Genomic DNA, 24163 nt, shown 5'->3' with positions numbered 1-24163 from the left:
CACCTCGGCAAGTCCAGTACCCTCGTCTGACCTCGGACCCGTCTGCATCTCCACAACACACCCAGGATGAAGCCGAGGGCTTTCTCTCTCCCACCGCACTGTGGTGGTCTTCCTTCATCCCCCAGGCCCCGCTAACAGTGGGAAGGGACAGCGGGCTGGAGGCAGGAGTGGGTGTTGGCTGTGGCCTCAGGACAGCGCAGCCAGCAGGATTTGAGCTTCTGGCCTGGCAGCACCCTCAGAAACCACCAGGTGGGCCCCAGAGGCCAAGTCCAGGGGGTCTCCGTGGGCCACGCTCCCTCTCAGGCAGCAGCCCTTGGAGGGGGCCCCAGGGGTCCCTGTGTAAAAGCGGCCTCTGCTGTGCTCACCCCGTGAGACCTGCCGGCCATGTGGCCTGTGGTGCTGGGATTTGGACACGGGCCCAGGCAGGCCCTCACAAGAGGGCGGTGGGAGCTGCAGCTGGAGCTGCTCAGAGCAGTGGGCTCTTCTCCAAATGGGTCCCCTGCCAGCCACTGTCCCAGCACCCGACTGGCCCAGAGCCATCCTCTCGGCCCCATGCACTCAGCACCGCCGCCTCCCCAAGGCCATGCTGGGGCGCCGGGCATTCTCAGACGTGGAGGCAAGGGGCTGGGGAGGCTCAGGTGAGAAGCCAGGAGCCAGCCTGCACGTCCGGCCTCTCAGGCACTCATGGTGGTCACTTGGCCTGGACACTCTAGGCCTGGGCTCCTGCTCCGTATCGATGACCTTAGCAGTCAGCTTGGGTGGGCAGGATGCCCAGGGAACCTTGAGAGATTCCATCCGTGCCCTGCGTTGGGGGCTGGGCTCCTCCCTGAACCGAGCAGCCCCCTCTCCGGTCACCTCTGCCTCCTGGGCGGCTGGTGGTCGGTGGTGGCCGGACACGCCTCGCCCCGGGCACGCTCTCGGGATGGGGCCTCCACATGGGCCTGCTGGCTGGAGGTGTCACTGGCGCCTGGCCCTCCCGGCCAGCTTCCAGCTCACCAGAATACCTGGAGCTTAGAGTAATCTCCTTCTCTTCCTCTTGTCAGCCGGCCAAGGCCCACGGAGGTAGCTTTGTTTGGGCGGCCGTCTCGCGGAGCTGTGTGAGCACAGCTGTGGAGCGGGCAGAGTCACGGGCTTGGATTTTTCACCCTCTTCTTATTTCAGTTTATACGACAGAATGACTTGCAGCTGCTTCAAAGGGCTCCACCCATAACTCCATGCGCCACATCCTAGTGGAGGAGAGGCGCCGCCAGTGCAGCTGGAGCCAATTAAACCCACCTATGCAGGCGCAGCAGACCCACCGTGCACGCAGACTCAAAGCAAAAACAGCCTCTTCACGGGCAGGGAGGCCCCGGCAAGTCCCATCACGTGGCGCAAATCAGAGGCGCAAACTCAGCCTTGTGTTCACGGCTTCCCGCCGCAGGGGCTGCAGGGTCCGCGTTCGGACGGCAGGCCTCGTATTGTGTCTTCTCACCGCCCCATGCTCCGGTGTCCACACTCTTCACCTGTTCCCTGCAGTTCATCTGAAAGCGCTTCCCCCGAGCTATTCCCCAACAAGAGGCGCTTTCCCTGCTGAGCCTCCCACAGGGCGCCTGGCCAACCTCTGCTCCCTAAGACAAACCTGGGAGGCGCAGCCAGGCATGGACAGGGTCTCAGGGCACCGAGGGCATCCTGGCCCAGTCACACTAGCACGGAGGCATGGGGCAAAGTTAAATTGGACAAGCCAACCCTCTTTAGTCTAAGGATGACAGAGGCCCTGAGGTGGCCGCACTGTACCAGACTTTGTTCTCCTGGGCACAAAAAGGACTTTTAAAAACTTTTTGCATTTATCATCATCACTCCACCATCACCAAGGTGCCTGAGATGCATAAAAAAGTATTTTTCCAAACTGGAAATCTGAAATAGAAGCACCAATAAAAACAGGTCCCAGATTTATGACCATATTTTTTCACCTCTCTTTCTCTCTTTCCCTCCCTCATATTTTTCTTTCTTCAAGTTAGCTTGGGACTACTGGAAAAAGAAGACTTGGCAGCGCGGAATGTGGGGGGCCCTGTGAGCTGTGCCCCCCAACCCCGTCTGCCCAGCCCAGCCGCAGCCCCAATTCTCGCCTTGGGCGGGCGGCTGGGCGGGTCTGAGGCCCCTGGGACTCATCTGCACGGTGCAAACAGCTGCTTTGGCAACTGAAATTAAAGATCAACTGGGAAGTAAACACAGAGGCTGCAAGACAGGGTGGAAGCTGGTTAAGAACCACATCCTTCTCTCTCTGCGATTTTGCGTGCAGTTCCCCAGGTCCTTGCAGAGGTCACCTGGCAGGGCCTCCCCTCAATCCCGACCTTTGGGCCCTGCTGCAGCCCAGTTTACCAAGATGTCCTCTGCCCAGAGGCCCCACCTGCACCACGGTCACACTGCACCAGCTGCCCACAGTGGAAACCGTGTCCCCTGGAGTGGTGCGGGCAGCCTGGCAGAGGGGTCAGGGCCACAGCTGCATAGTTGAGCTCTGCACAGGGGCAGCCTTGGAGCAGGTTGCAGAAGAGAGGAGTCCTGTGGAGTCACGGTTTCCGCCTTTTAGGGCCCCGTGGTTCTGTCAGTGCCTGGCATCCCCCAGTTGGATCTGTGGTTCGGAGTCTCTCAGGGTCCCAGCTTCCGTGGCCCTCCTGGTATCTAGCCGCTGCATCAGAAGGTGGGAGCTCTTGCTCTCTGCTTATGGCAGCAGGGATGGTTTCCCAACAGGACTGAGGTGGAAATGGGGTGGGCAATCCCTGGAGAGGCCTCTGCTCCATTTAAAACACTTGAACTTCACAGACACTGAGGACTTCATTTCATAACAGCCTGGAATGTAGAGCCCTCCCTGGTGAAAAATTAGAACAGAACCACGTTGCCGACGGTGCTGGTCCTCCAAGTTAAACACAATCTCACATTTGCTTTAGTATTATTTTAAGTGTAAGCAATTAGGTCTGTAATTTCGTTTAACCACTTGCCAGATTTCATTTTTTACATCCCAGCTATTCAGGGGTTAAAACTTTTAACCTGTTCATACTCTTTGAATATTTCAGGGGACCCGCGGAGGTAGCGCTGACGGAATCCCGGAGCTCACCTGCTACCAGAGAAGCAAATGTGGAAAGTGTGGAACAGTCCCCACACAGGGTCCTCCTGGCACAAACCCGCAATGTGCAATGCCAGGGGCCAGCGGCACACGCAGTCCCATTGCGACTCGCAGGAGAAGCAAATGTGGAAAGTGTGGAACAGTCACCGCACAGGGTCCTCCTGGGACACACGCAGAATGCGCAATGCCAGGTGCCGGCGGCACACACAGTCCCATTGCAGCTCGTGGGAGGTACCGCTCCCACCCCAAGGGTAACTGTTCTCCAGGCAGCAGCCCTGGCTTTGGGGAGCTCTGGCCTCTGGGCCAACAGTGTCCATGTGTGGCACAAGGCCCTCATGGGGGTGGTAAACCCAGCCAGGCTCTGGCCGCTGGCCCGACGGTGTCCATGTGTGGCATGAGGCCCTTGCAGGGGTGGTAAACCCAGCCAGGCTCTGGCCACTGGGCTGACGGTGTCCACGCGTGGCATGAGGCCCTCGCGGGGGTGGTAAACCCAGCTAGGCATGCACGCGGGCCTGGGCCACGAAGTTTCCCTTGTTCTTCCTCACTTCACTTCTGTTCGTCCTGTGCACATCAGCCTCCCTTGCTTCAGCAAGGCTTTTTCTATCTCTTTGTTGTTTTATTAAAGTGATAACTTTCAAGTATTTTAGATATATTTTATGCTTATAATGACCATAACCACAAAGTAGCATTTTTGGGTGATCCCGCCACCCCCTCTGCTCACTTGGAATATTCTTTAAACTTCCTTTTGGTTCTCACCTTCAATTAAAAAAAAAGTGTTTCACTGCTTTTCAATGATTTCTAAGTTATAGGTATTTTCTGCTAATGTCCTGCTGGGGAGGGTGACCATTTGGGGCTGTTGGAAATGTCCACCTCAAGGGCTGTTTGCTTCCTTCCCTGGGCCCCTCCTGCATCGGGCCCAGGTGGAGGTGGACCCCACGCTGGGTGGGCATCAGCTCATCTGTGGGTGTTCACAGCAGCTGTGGGTATGCCCATGGACAGGGATGGCTGGTCCCCCATCACCTTCCAGCCTCCTCTTCTAGATGTGGCAGGAGAAATTCTTTGATCTTTTAAAAAATTTACTTCTTAATCACACGAGTAATACCTAAATACATGTGGGATATTCTGAAGCAGACCTCAGGCACCGTGTCATCTCATCCATCAACACTTTTGTTTATATTTCTTACGGGTAAGGGCTTTTACCGGTATCACCACAATATTGCTATCATACCCAGCTAAACTAGCAGTCATCCCTTAATAGCATCCAAGGCCCAACGTCCTCCAGTTGCCTTGAGACATCTTTTATAGAAATCCCAGTGTTGCTGGGCCTGTGGGCAGGTGCGCAAGCCTCCTCTGCAGTGGGCTGTGGGACTGGGCTTTGGCCATTGGTCAGTGCCCATGAGTGGACATGAAGCATACAGCTTCCTGGCAGGACATGGGAAGGGGAAAGACACCACTCCCCTGGTCTCCCCTGAGGGAAGTGTGGGCTTGATGGTGGGCAGATTGTGAGCAGATGCCTGCCATATGCTCAGGACAGCCAGGCCTGGCCCTGCAGAGCTGCTGTATCCACTTCCATGCCAACAGCTTCCTGAGAGAGTGAGCTTCTAGATTATTTAGACCACTGTTATTTTGGCCTTGGTCACAGCAGCCAATGTAGCCTAATGTGTTGTGATTACATGGCCCATCTTATAAAATTATATTTTGCCTGGAATTAATAACTGCCTTGATTTTCAAATGGCTTTGCTCATATATCCATCCTCAATTCTCTCCCAACCTCTCGGTCAGAAATGGAAATCTCTCCACACAATGAGAATGGTGGTTCAGACCCCCCTGGAAGACCTCAGCTCTCCTGCACTGTCACCCAGGAGCCCCTCCCCACATCCCCAGAGCCCCCCGTGTCTCTCCTGTGTCCTGGCGCCAGGTCCTCCTTCAGGGCTGATGCCTCGTTTTGGTGAAGCACTTCCTCTAGCAGCCTCTGTACTGGTCTGAAAACGTCTTTTTCTCTTTACTCTTGACTGATAATATGGTTGGATTCCACTTCTAGGTAGGATATCCTTTTCCTGAATGTACCAAGGCATTGCCCACGGCCCACGGGTTTCCCTGCTGCTGTTGAGGGGTCCCACATACCCCTCTTCAACTTGGGTTCTGAACTGCAAAATGTCATGTGGCCAGCATTCGGCAGCCAGCCAGGAGGGCTGGAGTGAGCCCAGAGTTCACGTGCTCCCTGTCATCAAATCTTGGTGACCTTCTGCAGCTGGGCTGCTGTTGCGGGAAGCAGGGCCCAGCACCCGTGGCATCCGTCCGCCCTCCCTGCAGCCCTGGCTAAGGGTGCCCTGCTCCCGCCTGGTGGGAGGACGTGCGTCCACGGCCGAGCTTGTTGGAAGACAGCCTTGAGGTCTTGGAGTTGCTTTTGGAACTGGTGGCCCCACCTCTGTCTGCAGCCTCCTAGGGCAGCCCAGCTCCTGGTGTCTCGGGCTTTTCCTGGGCTTGGGATGCAGCTCGCCCGCCCCTGCAGACCCACTTTGTGCCACTGCCGGCCTTTCCTCCGAACCACTGTGGCTTGCTGTTTTCTTCATCCCACGGGGTCATCCCCTCCACTCACTGCCATTGTAGCGCAGTTTCCGGAGGTGGTAAAGGAAACACACATGCCCCACAGATCCCTGACAGGGCAGCTCCTGGAGCTCCATCACTATTTGGGGAGGAATCTGAACAGAGCGTCCTCTGCACGCACACCCGCCTCGCTTGGCCTTTCCTCCCCAGGTCCCGGAGCCTCCTCCCGAAGTGGCCACCAGCCACCCTGTGGCTTGGGGACGACCTCTTCACTGGGAGTTGCCACTTCCCCTCTTCCTTCGGCCAGAGATGCCTCTCTCCTTCCATTCAGGTAAACGTAGGTTCGACTCCGGCTGCGGAATCCCTGGCATCCCTGCCTGGTGAGGGGTGGCAGGAAGCACCACCCCCACTTCTGCCTCGGGGTCGGGGCCCTGTAGTGGATCCTGAGCCCCCATCACAAGGCAGCCCTCCCCGTAGAGAGGGAGGATGGCAGACCCCCTCCTCCCCAACCTGAGGCCCCTCTCCAGAGCTCCCTGGGAAGGCACCGGCGTCTCAGGTCCCTCTCAGCGCGAGGCAGCCTGGGAAGGCGCCGGCGTCTCAGGTCCCTCTCAGCGGGGAGCAGCCTGGGAAGGCGACGGCGTCTCAGGTCCCTCTCAGCGTGGGGCAGTCCCAGCTCCACGCGAAGCCCCCGCTCCCTGCACTCAAATTTGCCTCTGGGTTTCCCTGAGGGGGCCGGGAAGAATTGGAAGGTGTTGGGTCTGAATTCAGTCAGAGCTGGAAACCAAAAGAGAAGCAAAAAGTGATAAAAGAAGAAGAAAGACAGGTGCCCGCTAGGGTGAAGTCAGTGGGGAGGGCCGGGCTGACTCATGAAGAATTCAGGGAGGGCTCTGGTTGAGTCATGATTGGGGCCCTCAAAATTCTGTGTTCAGTTTTGTTGAAACCACTCCTAATGATCATCTTGAGAGAAATGAAAAAGTCAAGAATTGGGCTGATGGCCAGATGGTGTTTCTGAAATAAAGATCACATCTCTCAAGTGTCAAACTACACCGCCAGACGACAAACCGTGGGATGACTAATTCCTGTCTCTCTTCCAGGGCCCCTGCCGTGGCTACAAGCGCATGCCAGCGGGATGCCCTCGCCCCGACCCCGTGTGAGCTCCGCAGCTGCTTGCCCTGGATGAGGGGGTCTTCCCGTCGCCCTCTGTGGTGGTTGGATGTTTGGTGGATGTCTACTAAGGCCTCTAAGAAGTCGGCTCTCAAGCAGGAGAGGAAAGCGTCCCCATCCTCACCCACCCTGCTTGCTGGAGGGATATGGAAAATGAAACCCTACCTATCCACGTTCGTCCCTCTTAATTCTGTGACCATGATAGCTTGAGTTGCCACCCTGCATACATAAGTACTGAAAGGCGAGACGGTAAACTCAACTGTGGCTCCCAGAAGCTGTTATAAACGATGAACGCTGAGCCTCTTGCTAGTGTAAACATCTTTGAGAAACAGCTCTGAGGGGTGTGTGTAGCGAAGGTCTGGGGCAACCTCGGCCCCGCCTTCAGTTTCACTCATTTCTGTGGGCTTCCATCAGCCTATCTTCTGCAGGCCTGGCTTTTTCTCATATAGTTCAGTCCAATTTGCTTCATCTTGATAACTCACCCCAGTCACCACCACTGGAGAGATTTTTCAGACACTCCACAAAAAAATAAAAATAAAAAAAAAGCACCAGTTCCATAGATCACTCACCGGGACTATAAAGGTGAGAGTGCTGTCCCACTGTACTCAGATGGTGAAGGTGAGAGCACTGTCACACTGTACTGAGACGGTGAAGGTGAGGGTATGTCCTGCTGTACTGAGACGGTGAAGGTGAGGGCATGTCCTGCTGTGCTGAGACGGTGAAGGTGAGGGCATGTTCTGCTGTACTGAGACGGTGAAGGTGAGGGCGTGTTTGGCTGTACTGAGACGGTGAAGGTGAGGGCGTGGACCGCTATACTGAGACAGTGAAGGTGAGAGTGTGTCCTGCTGTACTGAGACGGTGAAGGTGAGGGCGTGTCCTGCTGCACTCAGACGGTGAAGGTGATGGCGTGTCCCGCTGCGCTGAGACGGTGAAGGTGAGAGTGTGTCCTGCTGTACTGAGACGGTAAAGGTGAGGGCGTGTCTTGCTGTACCCAGATGGTGAAGGTGAGAGCGTGTCCTGTTGTACTGAGACAGTGAAGGTGAGAGCATGTACTACTGGACTCAGACACCATGTTATCTAAATCTGCTGAGCACCGTAGCGAAACCTCACCTCAGCTGTTGATGTATTTCCCTTCTGGCTTCAGAAAGAACGGTGTTCTTCCAATGTGTTTTTAAAACATGGAACACAATATTCTTCACCCTCAGCAGGATTTAGAAAGAATTATCTAGTTACCCAAAGATCAGAATAAGCAGGTTCTGTAGGAACAAGTGCTTCTTTTTCCAGGATCCTGGGGTGGAAAATTCATGCGTGTTTCCCACTTGATGTTCTGATGCCCATGTGGTCAAAGTGTACTTGAGGACGCCAGGTGAGGTTTATGGCAAATCTGAGGAAGAGACCGTGGCCAGGTAGTGTGGCGCATACCCCAGCTTAGTGACCTGAGGAGGTCGTGAGTGCTCCCGCCAGGAGCCTCTGGTTTCTAAAAGGAGCTCCTGAGTTTCTGTTTGTCTGTCCTGCACCACCTTTTTGCATTGATTAACTTTGCTGTTGGTCTGGATCTCCATCTGTTAATTATTGAAGAGGCACTTATTGGTTTTTTTCTGACACCCAATTCGATTTTCCACATTTAGGACACTTCGCAGTTCCATGCTGAGAAAAAAAATGTTAGCATAAGGAGCAGCTTTAAGGTCCAAATCTCAGCTGATGGCGCTCAGCGTTGCACGTGATTTCCAATCTTATCAGGAGCCTGGCAGGAGCATGGCTGCAGCTGCTGCCAGGTCCTTGAGCAATGTTTAGGTGCCACAGGTAACAGCCACGCAGGTGGAGCAGAAAACAAAGCCGTGGACAGGGTTGCTTTCCAAGATGCATGGAATGCAAGAATGTTCTGGGACCTGTGTAAGAAATCTTTGCTTGCCCTAAGCTCACGGGAAGAGTGGTGAGCCAGTGAGGGCACACAGGTCGGACCACCTGCAGAGAAAGAATCACCAATAACCAGCGCTTCCAAGGTGGCTGCGTCCACTGAGGCTTCTGTCCACAATGGGCTGTTTGCCCTGCACCCCCTCTGACACTGGCCCCGTCAGTCCTCTGGGCTTCAAGCCTTCTGTGGGGGGATGATGGCATCTCGTGGTTGTCCTCCTGATGAATGGTGACACTGAGCACCTTTCCAATGTGGACTGACCATTTGGATATCCTCATCTGTGAAACTCCTGTGCCAGTATTCTGCCCATTAAAAAAATAGAGCTGTTAGCATGTTTCTTATGGATATGTAAGTGTTCTTTATATATATTCTGGTTATTTGTTGGCTGCATGGACCACCAATCTCTGAGTCTGACTTGCCTCTTCTTTTTGGAATGATGTCTTTCGATGAACAAAAGTTTATCATTTTAACGAAGTCAAATGAGATTAACCTTTTCCTGTATGGCTTGGATTTTCTGTGTCCTATTTGACTGCCCTGAGCAAGCTTTGCCTGCCCTGAGCTCGTGGAGATGTCCTGTTCTTTCTCTTTATTCTTTTATGCTTCACTTTAGGGCCAGAATCCACCCAGGCCACACTTCTTCTTCCCTGTCTCTTCCCTTAGACAAATGGAGGAGACGGACAGCGGAGAAGTGGAGGGAGCTGGGGGGAAACTCAGAGCCCAGAAGCCGGAGCTCAGGGAAACCACGTCTTCTGTGTTGACTTCGCCATCTCAGGGGGAAAGGAAGATTCACACAGACTTGCCCGCTCCCCTTGGCTGACTTTAGGTCAGGAAATAGCATGTTCACTTCGGTATGTGGGTGACATCATCAGCATGGCCACTGAAACAGGAGGTGAGGCTGCAGACGGGCTGGGATCCGCCTTGGCGAGCAGAGGCCTGCGCCTCCCTCCTCCACGTCCCCAACACCCCAGATCCGTGACATCCGACACCGAGCAGCTCACATCGCAAAGGAAACACAGCCAGCCCTGCCGAGAGCTGCCTTTCAAAGTAGAAAAAAATCCCCGGAGCAAATGTGTGCACAGGCCCTGCATTTAGAAAGAGGCGGCTTAGCCAGACATAGCTGGAACAAACATATAAAAAACATCTGTGCCAGGAAGCCACTCGCCAGCCCCGCAGACTGGGGGCCCCCACGGTGCCCTTGAGGGGCAGCAATGGCCCCGCCGCGTGGAGCCCCCCGCAGCAGCACCACCAGCCGCCAGCAACAGCTTTGGGCTTTCCTGCTCCTCACTGAAAATGGGCCACAGGCTCCGGGACAGACCACCTGCAGCCAGCACCCCCTGACCAGGGGCGGCACCAGCGAGACCCAGACAGACGGACCAGCAATGCCTTTCCACTTCTTCTCATCCTAATGTCAGTTTTCTTTCTGGTCCTAAAAGTAACGTGATCCATTGGAGACAAGTTGGAAAATGCAATGCAAATATATAAAGAATATGCTACCAGTCACCCACAACTCCAGGCCTAAGACGTGGCTGCATTTTGGTGTGTTGTAATCCTGTCTCACACCTTAGTCTCGTCACAACAAAGGAAGCGTTTCAGGGACACAAAAGCCTTTACAGAATGAGGGCAGATCCCACAGCCTGAGGCCAGAGGGACGAGGATGAGGCCGGGCTTGGCGCCGGCCAGGGGTGGGTGCCCGGGCACCGAGGCGAGTCACTGACACCGTGCAGTTCGGTGGGGCCTGGGGAAAGGTACAGCAGGAGGATTGTGGGGTGGGGACAGAAGAAGAGAGTCCTCTGGGATGGGGTGATGGGGACACAGTGGGTTTCACGACCCGTGCGAGAGAGGCCGGGAAGAGGCGGAAATGAGGACGGGCCCTCGGGTCAGTGCTGCCGCAGCCTCCTCAGAGAAGCAGCTTCCAGGCTGCAACGACTTAGACCTGTTTGTGAAACAGCTGGTTGTGAAATCAATTTAATGAGTCCTAACGAGCATTTTCAAAAAGGAGCAGAGCAGCATGGAAGCACCTATTTCTATGACCATAATGGAAGTCGTGATTTCTATCAGGGAATCACTCATCAGAGGGAGTGCTGTTTCACAAACTCTTATTTCACTTCTGCGTGTACGTGCTGGTTGTGATGTACAATGTGCCTCTTATTGTGGGTCTCAGTTTAAAAAAAGTTGCAAAGCCCTGGCTTAGAAGAAGAAAGAATTCAGAGGCCACATGTGACGACAGTTTAAGCTTCTGTAGATGAGAAAGGGACGGGGCACTCTTGGAAGCAAGGATAGTCCAGGCGGTGGGGCACGCGGATGCGAGGCTGACGGATCTCACACAAACGCACAGGGCACGCTGAGTTAGTCCCCTCGGAGCTCCTCTGATGTAGCCACGGTCCCTCCAGAACCTGCTGCGGCTAAGCCCCATCCGTCTCTGCGGTGGTCCCTCGCTACGTCCCACTTTCTCTTGTTCCTCCTCCTTTCCCCAAGTGACTTCTCCGGAAATGACTCTTAGAACAAGCCCAGAAATGAGCTCCAGTAAAGACCCAAAGGAACAAGAAGGCAGGCGTGCACACGACCCGGGACCCTCACCTCAAAGGAACAGGAAGGCAGGCGTGCACACGACTTGTGACCCTTCACGCGGCCCCCCGCCGTGTCAGCTTCAGTCGCACACCTGTGTCACAGCATGTTCACAGCAAAAACAAGGCATTTTACCTTTTCATAATATGGTCAGAAGTGGAGACTCTTTCCTTTCTCCTTTCAAGACGCTGAGCCACCCAAATTCCTTTTATATCCGTGATTAATAAAGGCATTGGCCAGGCGCAGTGGCTCACGCCTGTAATCCCAGCACTTTGGGAGGCCCAGGCGGGTGGATCACCTCAGGTCAAGAGTTCGAGACCAGGCTGGCCAACATGGCGAAACCCTGTATCTACTAAAATAAAAATAAAAAAATAAAAAAATTAGCCGGGCGTGGTGGCAGGCACCTGTAGTCCCAGCTACTTGGGAGACTGAAGCTGGAGAATTGCTTGAACCTGGGAGGGGGAGGTTGCAGTGAACCGAGATTGCACCACTGCACTCCGGCCTGGGCAACGGAGCAAGACCATCTCAAAACAAATAAATAAATAAATAAATAATGGCATCTCCCTGTCTACTTTTACATTTGTATTTTTGTACACCCCCACCCCGCCCCCCACCACACACACAAATCAGCATGGGTTGTTGTAGGGATTTACTTTAGGAAGGAAGATATGGGTAAATTGGAACCAAGAACACTTGTTTCCAGAAGACGACTTCTGGACCAGAGCAGTGGCCAAGGAATGAAAACATAATTGCATCATGTCCTCCAAGCTTCCTCGGAGGCTGGAAGGAGTCAGACCAGAAGTGCAACCACCGTGAATTGGGACATGTTGTGTATTCATACATGTACAAATTTTTGAATGTGAAGTTGCTTGCAACTAAACTTTTTTCCTAAGTGTACTGTACGTAGTTTTGATGAAGATAACATATATTTGCACAAAAATTTTCAGACACATTAAATTACTAATTGTTTTTGTAAGTCTCTCTGGAAGCAGTGCATGGATTGCATCCTGGTGCAGACTGCTGGGGATTCATTGTTTTTACTTAAAGACCTTCCTCCTGCACTTGCTGTTCCCTTGCCTGGAGTGCTCTATTTTCATTTTCTTTCTTTTGAATTTTATGTTTTTTTTTTTTTATTTTTTGCAAGCTCCCTGTAGCTAGACAAAGTCTGGCATGGAGTAAGCATTGAAGGTGTAACCCATGATGAGGGGTTTGGATTTATTTATGGAACTGGCTCACATTTTTAAAAATATGATAACCAATGAGTTGAAGATTACATTGTTGGTGTTGGCAGAAGAAAGTATGTATGCCAACAATGTGGGCACACTGTTAGTGTGGTAATTCAATGCCTAAGAATCTAATATGGAGTAATCCAAATATGAACAAGTGTGTACATATATTTACTGATGTATTGTTTTAGTAGCATAATTTGGAAAAAGCTAAAATATCCAACAATAGCAAAGCAATTAAATAAATTTAAGAACTCAATAGAATATAATTGTATCAGTCCGAGTTCTCCACACAAATAGAACCAGCAGGATATATGCAAATATAAACACACACATATGCAAATGTAAACACACACGCAAATATAAACACACACATATGCAAATATAAACACACACACCCAAATATAAACACATACACATACTCAAATGTAAACACACACACGCAAATAGAAACACACATGCAAATGTAAACACATACACATATGCAAATGTAAACACATACACAAATATAAACACACATGCAAATATAAACACGCAAATATAAACTCATACACATACACAAATATAAACATGTACACACATACGCAAATATGAACACACGCAAATGTAAACACATACACATATGCAAACGTAAACACATAGACACACAAATATAAACACACACACAGGCAAATATAAACATACACGCAACTATAAACACATGCAAATATAAGCACATACACATACGCAAATGTAAACACATACACATATGCAAATATAAACACTCAAATATAAACACTCAAGTATAAACACACATACGCAAATATAAAACACATGCAAATGTAAACACATATGCAAATCTAAACACACATATGCAAATATAAACACACACGCAAATATAAACACATACACACAAATATAAACACATACGCAAATGTAAACATACACACAAATATGCAAATATAAACACATACACAAATATAAACACATGCAAATATAAACTCATACACATACACAAATATAAACATACACATGCAAATATAACACGCAAATATAAACACATACATATGCAAATATAAACACACACACAAATATAAACACACGCAAATATAAACACATATGCAAATATAAACACACACGCAAATGTAAACACACACAAATATAAACACACATACGCAAATATAAACACGCACACATACACAAATATAAACATATACACATACACAAATATAAACACACACACATACACAAACATGAGAGAGAGGGAGAGAAACCTATTCTAGGGAATTGGACCGTGCAACTCTGGGGACTGGAAACTAAAACAAAATCCACAGGGCAGGCCAGTGGGCTGAACAGTTGGACTAGATTTCTGTGGTGTAGTCTTGAGGCAGAATTCCCTCTTCGTCAGTAAATCTGTCTTTACTCTTAAAGGATTCAACTGATTGAATAAGAGTAATCCACATTGCAGAGGGTAATTTGCTTTACTTAAAGTCAACTGACGGCGAATTTTAATAACGTATTTTAAAACTTTCACATCTAGATCAGTATTTGACCAAGCAACTGAACACCACAGTTCAGCCAAATTGACAAATACAACTGACCATCACAATAATGTTGCCATTTAAAGAAATGGTTAAGGGGGTTATGTAATCATGTGAGAGGAAAATGCTTAGATATTTAGAAAAAAAGCAGAACACAAAACTCCAGTGGATCTTGGTTATGGCAAGGTTAAAAATGTGTAAGACAAAAGGCAGAAATAAGAACACCAAATGCTGATTATGAGGTAGAGTGGTGAGATTAGGTGTGATATTTTCCTCACATGCCTAGAAGTTTTATAATGTTGCTATAATTTTTATCATGGAAAAATAAAATTCTGGCCATGTACAGTGGCTCATGCCTATAATCCTAGCACTTCAGGAAGCAGAGGTGGGAGGATTGCTTGAGCCCTGGAATTCAAGGCCAGCCTGGGCAACATAGTGGGACCCTATCTCTACAAAAATCTGAAAAAAAAAAAAAAAAAAAACACACACACACACACACACACACACACATTATCTAGGCCTGGTAGCATGTGCCTGTAATTCTAGCCCTTTGAGAGGCTGAGGCAGGAGGATAACTTGAGCCCAAGAGGCTGAGGCTGCAGTGAGCTATGACTGAGCCACTGCACTGCAGCCTGGGCAACAGAGTGAGACCCTGTCTTAAATAAAAACAAACAAACAAACAAAAAACAGAAAAAAGGAAACAATAGGCAATTCTTCTTCAATGATTATTTTTATAATAAAAAATTCATAGAAAAATCTTCCTTAATGATTGACTTATTTAAAATGACAAGACGACTTGGTGACACTTGATGATAAATCTCGGGCTTCTTAACACTCAGGCTTTTTTTCTTTTTCTTTTTGTTTTATGGAGTCTCGCTCTGTCACCAGGCTGGAGTGCAGTGGCGTGATCTCGGCTTGCTGCAACCTCCGCCTCCCGGGTTCAAGCAATTCTCTTCCCTCAGCCTCTCGAGTAGCTGTGATTACAGGCGTGCACCACCACGCTCAGCTAATTTTTGTATTTTTAGTAGAGATGGGATTTCACCATCTTGGCCAGAATGGTCTTCATCTCTTGACCTTGTGATCCACCTGCCTTGGCCTCCCACAGCGCTGGAATTACAGGCAGAGCCACCGTGCCTGGCCCACACTCAGGCTTCTTAACGCTCAGGTTTCCTAATGCTTGGCCTTCTTAAACACGGGGGGAATTACTTGAGGCCAGCGGGCTGATATTTACAGAGCCTGAACGTTATTTTGGCAATCAGGCCTGTTCTCTAAGCGGTAAGAAGTTCCTGGATGCCCTAATTCGACATAAGCAGAGGTATTTGTGGGGATTTGTAAGCACCCCTGAGATCTGAGACAGGTTCCTTCTGCTCGTTCCCTTAGAACTATGGTGTCGGAAGATGAGATGAGCTTCCTAATTTCCACTCATGCTCAAGCTGAAAGTACAAACTAGGATGAGTCCAACATAAAACTTCTGCCGACAATATAATCTTCAACCCATTGGTTATTATTATTTTAATGTGGGGCTACTTCAATACGCAAGTTTAAACTCCTTACCATAGGCAATCTATTGAATGCCCACGACACGCCATAAATTAGCAAAGGTTAGTTCTGGTGCCCTTAGTACCTGTTTCTGCATCCTTGGTCATCCCTTCCTCCAACCTCATACTTTTTCCGCCTAACCCCTATCAAAACTCCTATCATGGAAAATAATTTGATGGTGATAAGAGCCGCATTTTGTTGAGCATGTTATATACCAAATAGTGCGGAGAGTTGTGGAGGAGTCTGGCATAGACAGCCGAGCTGACTTGGGGGATGGTGGCAACGGCAGGCTGACGTGGTGTGGACGGAGAGTCTGCGAGCCTTGGGTTTTAAACAGAGGGTCTCATGAGCCCTTGTCTTGCAGATATTTTCAGCTCTCAGAATGAAGACACAGAAAATGTGAATGGGCAACTTCTACTCCAGGACTATATTCGACTTTATGTTGTGGAAATTTTTATTTTTATGTATTGATTTATTTATTTTGAGACAGAGTCTTGCTCTGTCCCACCCAGGCTGGAGTGCAGTGGTGTAGTCTCCGCTTACTGCAACCTCCACCTCCCGGGTTCAAGTGATTCTCCTGCCTCAGCCTCCAGAGTAGCTGGGATTACAGGCGCCCGCCACCATGCCTGGCTAATTTTTGTATTTTTAGTAGAGACGGGGTTTCACCATGTTGGCCAGGCTGGTCTCAAGTTCCTGACCTCAAGTGATCCACCCTCCTCGGCCTCCCAAAGTGCTGGGATTACAGGCATGAGCCACTGTGCCCGGTCTGATTTTATATTATGGAAAAATTTTAAACACAAACAAAAGTAGAGAAAATAGCACAATAGACCTCCCAAGCACCCGTCGTCCAGCTTCCCAGGGGCCAACTCAGGCCCCTCTTGTTTCATCCACCTCCCCACTCCCTGCAAATTCTGGACATTCTACTATTTCATTATAAAAATATGTTGGCATTTGTTTCTGAAAAGTAAGAATCTTTAAAGAAAACATTACCGTCAGACTCTCCCCACACATACAAGTTTAGCAGTAAGTTCCTGGTGGCATCAAATCTCCAGGGAGGTCTCATTTTAGGTGCCCTCTAAGAAAGGCGCTGACCATGCTGTAGCCCAGATGGGATGAGGCCACCAGGACGGCAAGAGCTCAGCCCTCACCACCGGGTCCGTCCTCTGCCCGCCTCCCGACTCCCCTGCACAAGCCTGCGAGCCTCTTCCGCTCCCTCCTGCAGGTCAGGGAACTGCCGTCCCTAACCCCCGCCACTCCCAGTGGAGCAGGGCCATTCCGGGGGCACCTGCAGGACGGGCCCTGCTTTATCAATGAATCGTGCCCCCCACACGTGGCCTGTCAGGGGCCTGGTAATTGAGCACTTCCTGTTCTACTCCCTGGGCGCCAGGTGACCACGCCTTGGCCCGGCAGAGCAGACACAGCCTGGGATGCCACCACCCTCTCTAGCGACGCTCTCCTGTGTCACCGTAACCAGAGGTGTCGACTGAGTGCCGGGAGCCAAACAAAGGAGCATCTGTCCCTCTCGGCATGAGGATTCCTGGCACCGAGGATTAATTGCCAAGTTACCAGGCTTGCCATCATGAAGAGGCATCTTATTCTCGGCAGGGAATATTGTGTTCTTCCCTCTCCTTGCTGTGAGAATGTGGTCCCGGGATGATCATACGTGTGGCATCATCAGAGAGAACACCATGGCCAGGCATCCTCGGACTGCGGGGAGTTTCCCAGCATTCAAGACTGAAATGCAGCCATCCGCAGACACCCAGCAGCCCACACCACCAGGCCCCAACCACAGAGGTCAGCGCCACGCAGGGCCCAGCGGACCGATGGTCCCATTCTCAGCTCACAGAAAAGTGAAGCTGCTCCTATCAACGCCTGCCCTTAACCTTCCATCACACCAAAATTATATCTCGAGAAGCCATAGCTGCCTCTGCACCCCTACTTCTTCCTGTGCCTTTTCCCTTCCCTGCTAAAATCCACACCCTCAAATGTTCTATGTGGCACCCAAAGAAGCCCACGAACCCCCGAACCCATGAACACACAAACCCATGAACCCACGAATCCACGAACCCACGAACCCATGAACACACGAACCCATGAATCCACGAACCCACGAACCCACAAACCCATGAACACACAAACCCATGAACCCACGAACCCACGAACCCATGAACACACGAACCCACGAACCCACGAATCCACGAACCCACGAACACACGAACCCAGGCTCTTCTTTCGTCTTCTTTCGTTTTCCGTGTGTTTGTTTTAGAGACAGGGTTTGCTCTGTTGCCCAGGCTGAGTGCAATGGCACAATCTCGGCTTACAGCAGCCATGACCTCCCGGGCTCAAGCAATCCTCCCGCCTCGGCCTCCTGAGTAGCTGAGACCACAGGCTCCATCACCACCACGCCTGGCTAAAGTCACAGTCCTGTGGAGACTCTTGCCCTACTTGGAGACCCCTGGTCCAGGTATCTATCAACTAACAACCAACAGGCCTCTTAAGGTCAAGATTTTAGGCCCCTTAAGGTCAAGATTCAGTGGAACCTGAGCAGCTGAGAGGAGGGAGAGGCCATCGGCCACGGCAGAGCAGACAGGAAAGGTCTTTTCCCGTCCACCCAGGAAAACGCACTGCAAATCGCTACACCCACCATCCCCATGGCGGACAGCGTGCACTTCCCGTCCACATGGCAGATGCCATCGGCCACGGCAGAGCAGACAGGAAAGGTCTTTTCCCGCCCACCCAGAAAAACGCACTGCAAATCGCTACACCCACCATCCCCATGGCAGACAGCGTGCACTTCCCGTCCACACGGCAGATGCTGGGGTAGGTGGGTGCCCGCCTTCTTGCTCCCAACTCCATCCCCTGCCTGAGATTTGGGCACCACGAGCTTCCTGGGCTTCACTGGCTCCAAGCAGAACCTCGGCTTCTCTTCTGGACACTTTTCACTGTGGGCTTCAAGGCTGGGGCCTCCTGCCTGGTCAGAGCTGCCCTTGGAGGCTGGCAGGGATCTCAGGGATCTGAGTGGTCTCCAGGGGTCCACAGGGGTCTCCAGGGGTCCCTGGTGCTCAGGGAGGGCTCCACACCCCTCCAGCCTGGACGTGGAGAAGGAGGAGGCGTTCCCCACTCTGTGGGGGAGTTCCTTTCTTGGCACCTTCTCTGAAAATAGATCCTCAATTTCACCGATCATTAGGAATTTCCTGAGGAACATCATTAAACGTCACCCAGCACCCCATGCCTGAAGCTCAGGGCTTCCTCTTCAATCATGTCACGCCCGTGTCATGGTGGCCCACATCTGAGATGGTCACGATGCCCTGCGACCTGTGAACACGAGACAGCCCCTGCTCTTACACAAGGCATCCAGGGCAGAGCTGAGGGGACTGGACTCACCAACCAGACAGACCCTCCCTGCCTTTCCCCATCCCCCTCAAGCCCCCTGCACACGCCTGGCCACTTCAGGCTGGCGGAGGGGCTGGTCATGCCTTCTGAGCACAGCCGCAATGCCATGAGGTTTCCCAGCTCTGCAGCTTCCGAGCAGGGTCTGGAGCTGTGCAGACCAGGGTCGGGGAAGGTGCCTGGGGCTGGGCCGGGAGCCTGAGAGGTAGCAAGTCCTTGCTCGCCGGACAAGGCGGCCTGTGGGCCCCTGGCAGAGGACAGTGGTGAGGAGGTGGACGGGGGAAGTACGAGGCTGGCCACCGAGTCACCGGAGTCTTGAGAGGTTGAACCTGAGCAGCTGAAGGGAGCAGCTTGTCTGGATCGGCCAAGATCGGGACAGACAGGGAGAGTGAGATCGGGACAGACAGGGAGAGTGAGATCGGGACAGACAGACAGGGAGAGTGAGATCGGGACAGACAGACAGGGAGAGTGAGATCGGGACAGACAGACAGGGAGAGTGAGATCGGGACAGACAGGGAGAGTGAGATCGGGACAGACAGGGAGAGTGAGATCGGGACAGAAAGACAGGGAGAGTGAGATCGGGACAGACAGGGAGAGTGAGATTGGGACAGACAGGGAGAGTGAGATCGGGACAGACAGACAGGGAGAGTGAGATCGGGACAGACAGACAGGGAGAGTGAGATCGGGACAGACAGGGAGAGTGAGATCGGGACAGACAGGGAGAGTGAGATCGGGACAGAAAGACAGGGAGAGTGAGATCGGGACAGACAGGGAGAGTGAGATCGGGACAGACAGACAGGGAGAGTGAGATTGGGACAGACAGGGAGAGTGAGATCGGGACAGACAGACAAGGAGAGTGAGATCGGGACAGACAGGGAGAGTGAGATCGGGACAGACAGGGAGAGTGAGATTGAGATTGGGACAGACAGGGAGAGTGAGATTGGGAAGGAGCCACGTTCGGTCCCCTTGGCTGCCCTCGGCCTGGGAGCAGCCCCAGTACCCCCCTTTGGCCTGCTCAGCCACCTCCCTCTCCAGGCTCCTGTCCCACCCGCAGTGCGTCCCTCCCAGTCCTGTCTCGGGGGCATGCCCATCACGTGTGCCCTGGTTTTGGGGGCCCATGGACAAGCCCTCAGTCTCAACCCACAGCGTTTCAGGCTCCCCAGCCCTCAGCAGGGCGGTCCCATTAGGAGGAGAACATCCGGGGGCGTCCCTCACCAGGAACCGGAAGCAGACAGGAGGCCCCCTCTCCATGGAACCGGCCCGCCTGGGCCTGCCCTCTCTGTAGACCTGGGCGCCTCTACTGCATGTTGCTGAGAAGGGCCAGGTTGGGCGAAGGTCACTGGGCCAGACTCGTGGCACTGTGAGGAGTGAGGGCCTCAGGAATCCCCAGCATGTGGGGACCTCTGTGGACCTGCTTCAGTCCCCTCTACCGTCTCTCGCTGGGCCACTACTCCCTGCAGAAAGGAGCCATGGCCTCTCCTCAGCCTTTCCTCGTCTGTGGAGTCAGCAGCCCCAAGACTCCAGCAAGGCCTCCAGAAGGGTTTGGCCATAAAGGTGGCCGTGCTGTCTGCCGGGCTGGGCAGCCTCTAGACGGCCCCAGTGACCTCACCCCCTGGTGCTCACAGCATCTCAGGCTGTCCACTCTCCCTCCGTGCTGGGAGGGGAGCTGCTGCCATGCAAGAAGCTGAGATTCCAGCTGACAGCCAGTTATGGGGGCTTGTGGATGTTGGGGGTTCTCCTGGGGGGGGAGTCTCCTGGGGGGGGGAGTCTCCTGGAGGGGGGGGTCTCCTGGAGGGGGAGTCTCCTGGGGAGGTTCTCCTGGGGGGGAGTCTCCTGGAGGGGGAGTCTCCTGGGGGGGAGTCTCCTGGGGGGTTCTGGAGGAGGGAGTCTCCTGGGGGAGAGTCTCCTGGGGGGGTTCTCCTGGGGGGGAGTCTCCTGGGAGGTATCTCCTGGGGGGGAGTCTCCTGGGAGGGTTCTCCTGGGGGGGAGTCTCCTGGGAGGGTTCTCCTGGAGGGGGGGTCTCCTGGGGGGGGAGTCTCCCGGGGGGGGTCTCCTGGGGGGGAGTCTCCCAGGGGGGTTCTCCTGGAGGGGGCTTCTCCCGGGGGGGTTCTCCTGGAGGGGGCTTCTCCCGGGGGGGTTCTCCTGGAGGGGGCTTCTCCCGGGGGGGTTCTCCTGGAGGGGGCTTCTCCCGGGGGGGTTCTCCTGGAGGGGGCTTCTCCCGGGGGGGTTCTCCTGGAGGGGGCTTCTCCTGGGGGGGTTCTCCTGGAGGGGGCTTCTCCTGGGGGGCTTCTCCTGGAGGGGGCTTCTCCTGGGGGGGTTCTCCTGGGGTAGGGTTCTCTTGGAGAGGGTTCTCCCATGCACCTGGAGATGATGGTGGTGCTGAGACACAGCAACAGCTAGGCTCACACTAGCAAGAGGCCCTGAGCCCATCAAACCCAGGGAGGTCACGCAGCTCCTTCGCTGCAGACGCGGCTCAGTGTTGGGGATGAGGTGCACGTTTGCTGCTGGACGCGGCTCAGTGTTGGGGTCGTCTGCAACGCGGCCATGATAACCAGTCCATGAAGGCGTCCCAGCCTCGGCTCTCAGCCCCTCTGCGCCTCCACTCCAGAGCCCCACACATGCGTCGGGGCCCCATCCCGAAAGGCGCCGCTAGCACAGAAGCCTTTGTTGCTCGCTTGAGGGGAAACCAGCTAAGATGCCAGCAATCAGAGACAGGAGCTTTTTAGTTTCTTTGTTTTTATCTACTTACTAAGAAGGACAATAGGTATAATTTCAGCAAGATCTTTTTCAACAAAATACAACAGAAAAAAGGGGTTTCCTGTTAATCATGCACTCACCAGAAAATTCAATTAAACTGTGTTCCTAGTTCCTAAACACCCGTCTGAATCAAGCTTGTGATCTGTTTCTCGTCGCACTTCTGGATTCTCCGGATAACTTTCGTCACCTTCTCAGGGAGTTTGAGATGGCTGAAGATACTTTTCCACCTAAGGTAACGTTTCCAGCCTTCTGGCAGAGTCAGCACTCGACTCTCCCTGCTCGGAGACCCAGGCGACGGTGCCGTGTGACCCCTGACCCCGCGGATGAGGAAGGTAGAGAGAGAGCGCGCAGACACGGAGGTCGGCGCTGAGGTTGAGGGAGCCACACCCGGCCGCAAGCTTGAGGGAGGGAAGCCGGGTGCGGAAACAGCCCAGCGGGTCCAGAAGTCGCCCCCGGGGCACCCAGGGCTCCCACTGCCAGCCTCCTGCGCCCTTGGTGTTTGAGGAATGGTCTGGTGGCCCCCAGCCCCGCTTGCAGCCTGTCTCTGGCTGTCCCTGCCTCCAGGACCAGCCCCACACCCTCTTTGCTGTTAGCCGCTGGTTGCCACTGACCTTGAGCCCCAAGAACAGCGGAGCCCTGCTGGTCCGCACGCCTTGGTTCTGCCTGCACAGACCCCATCTCTGTGACTTCCTGAAATCATTCCTGACAAAGGCAGTGAGACTCGCTGGAAGGCAGGCCATCCCTGACCTCACACCCCGCTGGCCAGGCAGGGTCTCCAGCTGACCAGGAGACTCCCAGCAGCGGCTGCCTTGCAGGGCCCACTCTCAGCCTTGCAGCCTCTGTCTAAGCTCTCCCTCCAACCACAAGACCTCCCTGGGCCGTGGACCAAGCAGAAACTATAAAGCATTTTCTCCCAGTAAAAAAGAAGACAGGGGAGGAGGGGAGGGAGGAGGAAGAGGATGGGCACTTGCCAGGGTGGCTTAGCTCTCCTCGCCCAGGGAAGCTGGCCTGGGGATCCTCACATCTCACCACCACTCCAAGGAGCTGCTGGTCCAGGACTGGAACCAAATCAGGAAGCTTTGCTGTGTTTGTGTGAGTGCCACAGGCTCTCTGTAATGTGCTTTCCACCTCCTGCTTAGAATTTAGGAGGACAAACAAGATGTGGTTTAAACAGCAATGTTAATACTCCTGGGTATCGAAGAGTTTCACGAAGGATTGCGTGAGATGCCCTTGGGTGGTAACTTTCTGGGAGCCGCTTGGCAAAGCTCTGCCAGACACTGGGCCGGGAAGGCTGCAGGCCGACCCTCTGAGGCTAACCCAGTCACCCTTAAAGTGAAGACGGTGACATCCACAGATACCGGGGACAGTGAAGACTGTGACATCCACCTGCCAGTTACCGGGGACTGAGAGGTAAATACGGCTATGCACGACTTTGGGGCTCAGGTTCGCCCCTTACTTAGTTTTTCAAGCCAAATGGGACAGACACGTGAAACTGATCAACAACTGTGGGGGCAGAAACCACCTTGCTCTGTTTTTAGTCGTCCTTAGACGACAGCGAGACCCTCAGCCAGCAGGTCCATCTTCCCTGTGAATCACGGAGGCTCTTGTGCCATGCACCCCAATGCAGAAACACATTCTACCCTGGAGAGCCCTCTGTTTGAATCAGCCAGTTAGAGCAATGCTGCCATTTCTAAGGGTGTCCCTAGAATAGGGGTAACCTCAGGCAAGAGGGAGGCATGACCTCGGGCAGGCCAGGGGCCTCGGCGTCCCTTCCTTCCACACCGAGGTTTGAAGTTCCAGCACCAACATCGCCAAAACGTCAGCTTAAGGCAGAACGGCAAAGAGGCCAACAATCCGCGGTGGCTGCTGCCGGCGTGTCAGGAAGGGACATCTGGGCTCGGAAGGCACGCGTGCCACAATCAGCCAGCGCGTCCTCAGGGTGCGGGAACGGGAGCGGGAGGCCGGTGCTGTGTTTTGCAGCATTTAGCCTCAGGCTCCGCGTGCTGCTGAAGTCCCGTCCTTCTTCACAGTGCAGCCCTTCAGGAGTTTTCAGCCACTTGCCCCTCCATGCGGTCTGAGAGGTTAGGGTGGGAGCAGACCTCGAGGCCAAGGGACCCCAGGAGGGACAGAAGGGACAGGAGACAGCGTGGGGGCAGGAGACGATGTGGGGGCAGGAGACGATGTGGGGGCAGGAGATGGCGTGGGGACAGCTGTGGCATGGCTGCTGGCACAGCAGGGTGGGCGCCTGTTGCCCCTGAGATTAGGAACCGCCCGAGAGGCAGCCTCTGGCCTGCCCGTCTCTTTTCCGTGGGTTCTTGATGCGGCTCTAAGTGTTAGGTGCCATTCACCCACCGCTAGTTCATTCACCGCCTTCTTTATCCGGCACTCAGTGACAGGTGACTGTTGATGAGACATCCAGCCGTGGACGTGGAGGGCCCGG

At 53.2% G+C, this 24163-nt stretch overlaps 4 annotated features.

Moving 5' to 3' along the window:
* Positions 1039-1538: an enhancer, noted in NCBI's record as "H3K4me1 hESC enhancer chr18:77336029-77336528 (GRCh37/hg19 assembly coordinates)". NCBI's record gives its function as "activates a minimal SCP1, AML or CMV promoter by ChIP-STARR-seq in naive H9 embryonic stem cells {active_cell/tissue: H9 hESC(naive)}" and the evidence as "EXISTENCE:reporter gene assay evidence [ECO:0000049][PMID:30033119]".
* Positions 6152-7351: an enhancer, noted in NCBI's record as "CDK7 strongly-dependent group 2 enhancer chr18:77330216-77331415 (GRCh37/hg19 assembly coordinates)". NCBI's record gives its function as "activates an origin of replication core promoter dependent on BRD2, BRD4, P300/CBP, MED14 and CDK7 cofactors, with strong dependence on CDK7, by STARR-seq in HCT116 cells {active_cell/tissue: HCT116}" and the evidence as "EXISTENCE:reporter gene assay evidence [ECO:0000049][PMID:35650434]".
* Positions 6181-6736: an enhancer, noted in NCBI's record as "H3K4me1 hESC enhancer chr18:77330831-77331386 (GRCh37/hg19 assembly coordinates)". NCBI's record gives its function as "activates a minimal SCP1, AML or CMV promoter by ChIP-STARR-seq in naive H9 embryonic stem cells {active_cell/tissue: H9 hESC(naive)}" and the evidence as "EXISTENCE:reporter gene assay evidence [ECO:0000049][PMID:30033119]".
* Positions 6737-7293: an enhancer, noted in NCBI's record as "H3K4me1 hESC enhancer chr18:77330274-77330830 (GRCh37/hg19 assembly coordinates)". NCBI's record gives its function as "activates a minimal SCP1, AML or CMV promoter by ChIP-STARR-seq in naive H9 embryonic stem cells {active_cell/tissue: H9 hESC(naive)}" and the evidence as "EXISTENCE:reporter gene assay evidence [ECO:0000049][PMID:30033119]".

Source organism: Homo sapiens, chromosome 18, assembly GCF_000001405.40.
Source record: "Homo sapiens chromosome 18, GRCh38.p14 Primary Assembly".
Taxonomy (NCBI): Eukaryota; Metazoa; Chordata; class Mammalia; order Primates; family Hominidae; genus Homo; species Homo sapiens.
The sequence above is the reverse complement of the archived record's forward strand: the minus strand, read 5'-3'. Positions and strand labels throughout refer to the sequence as shown.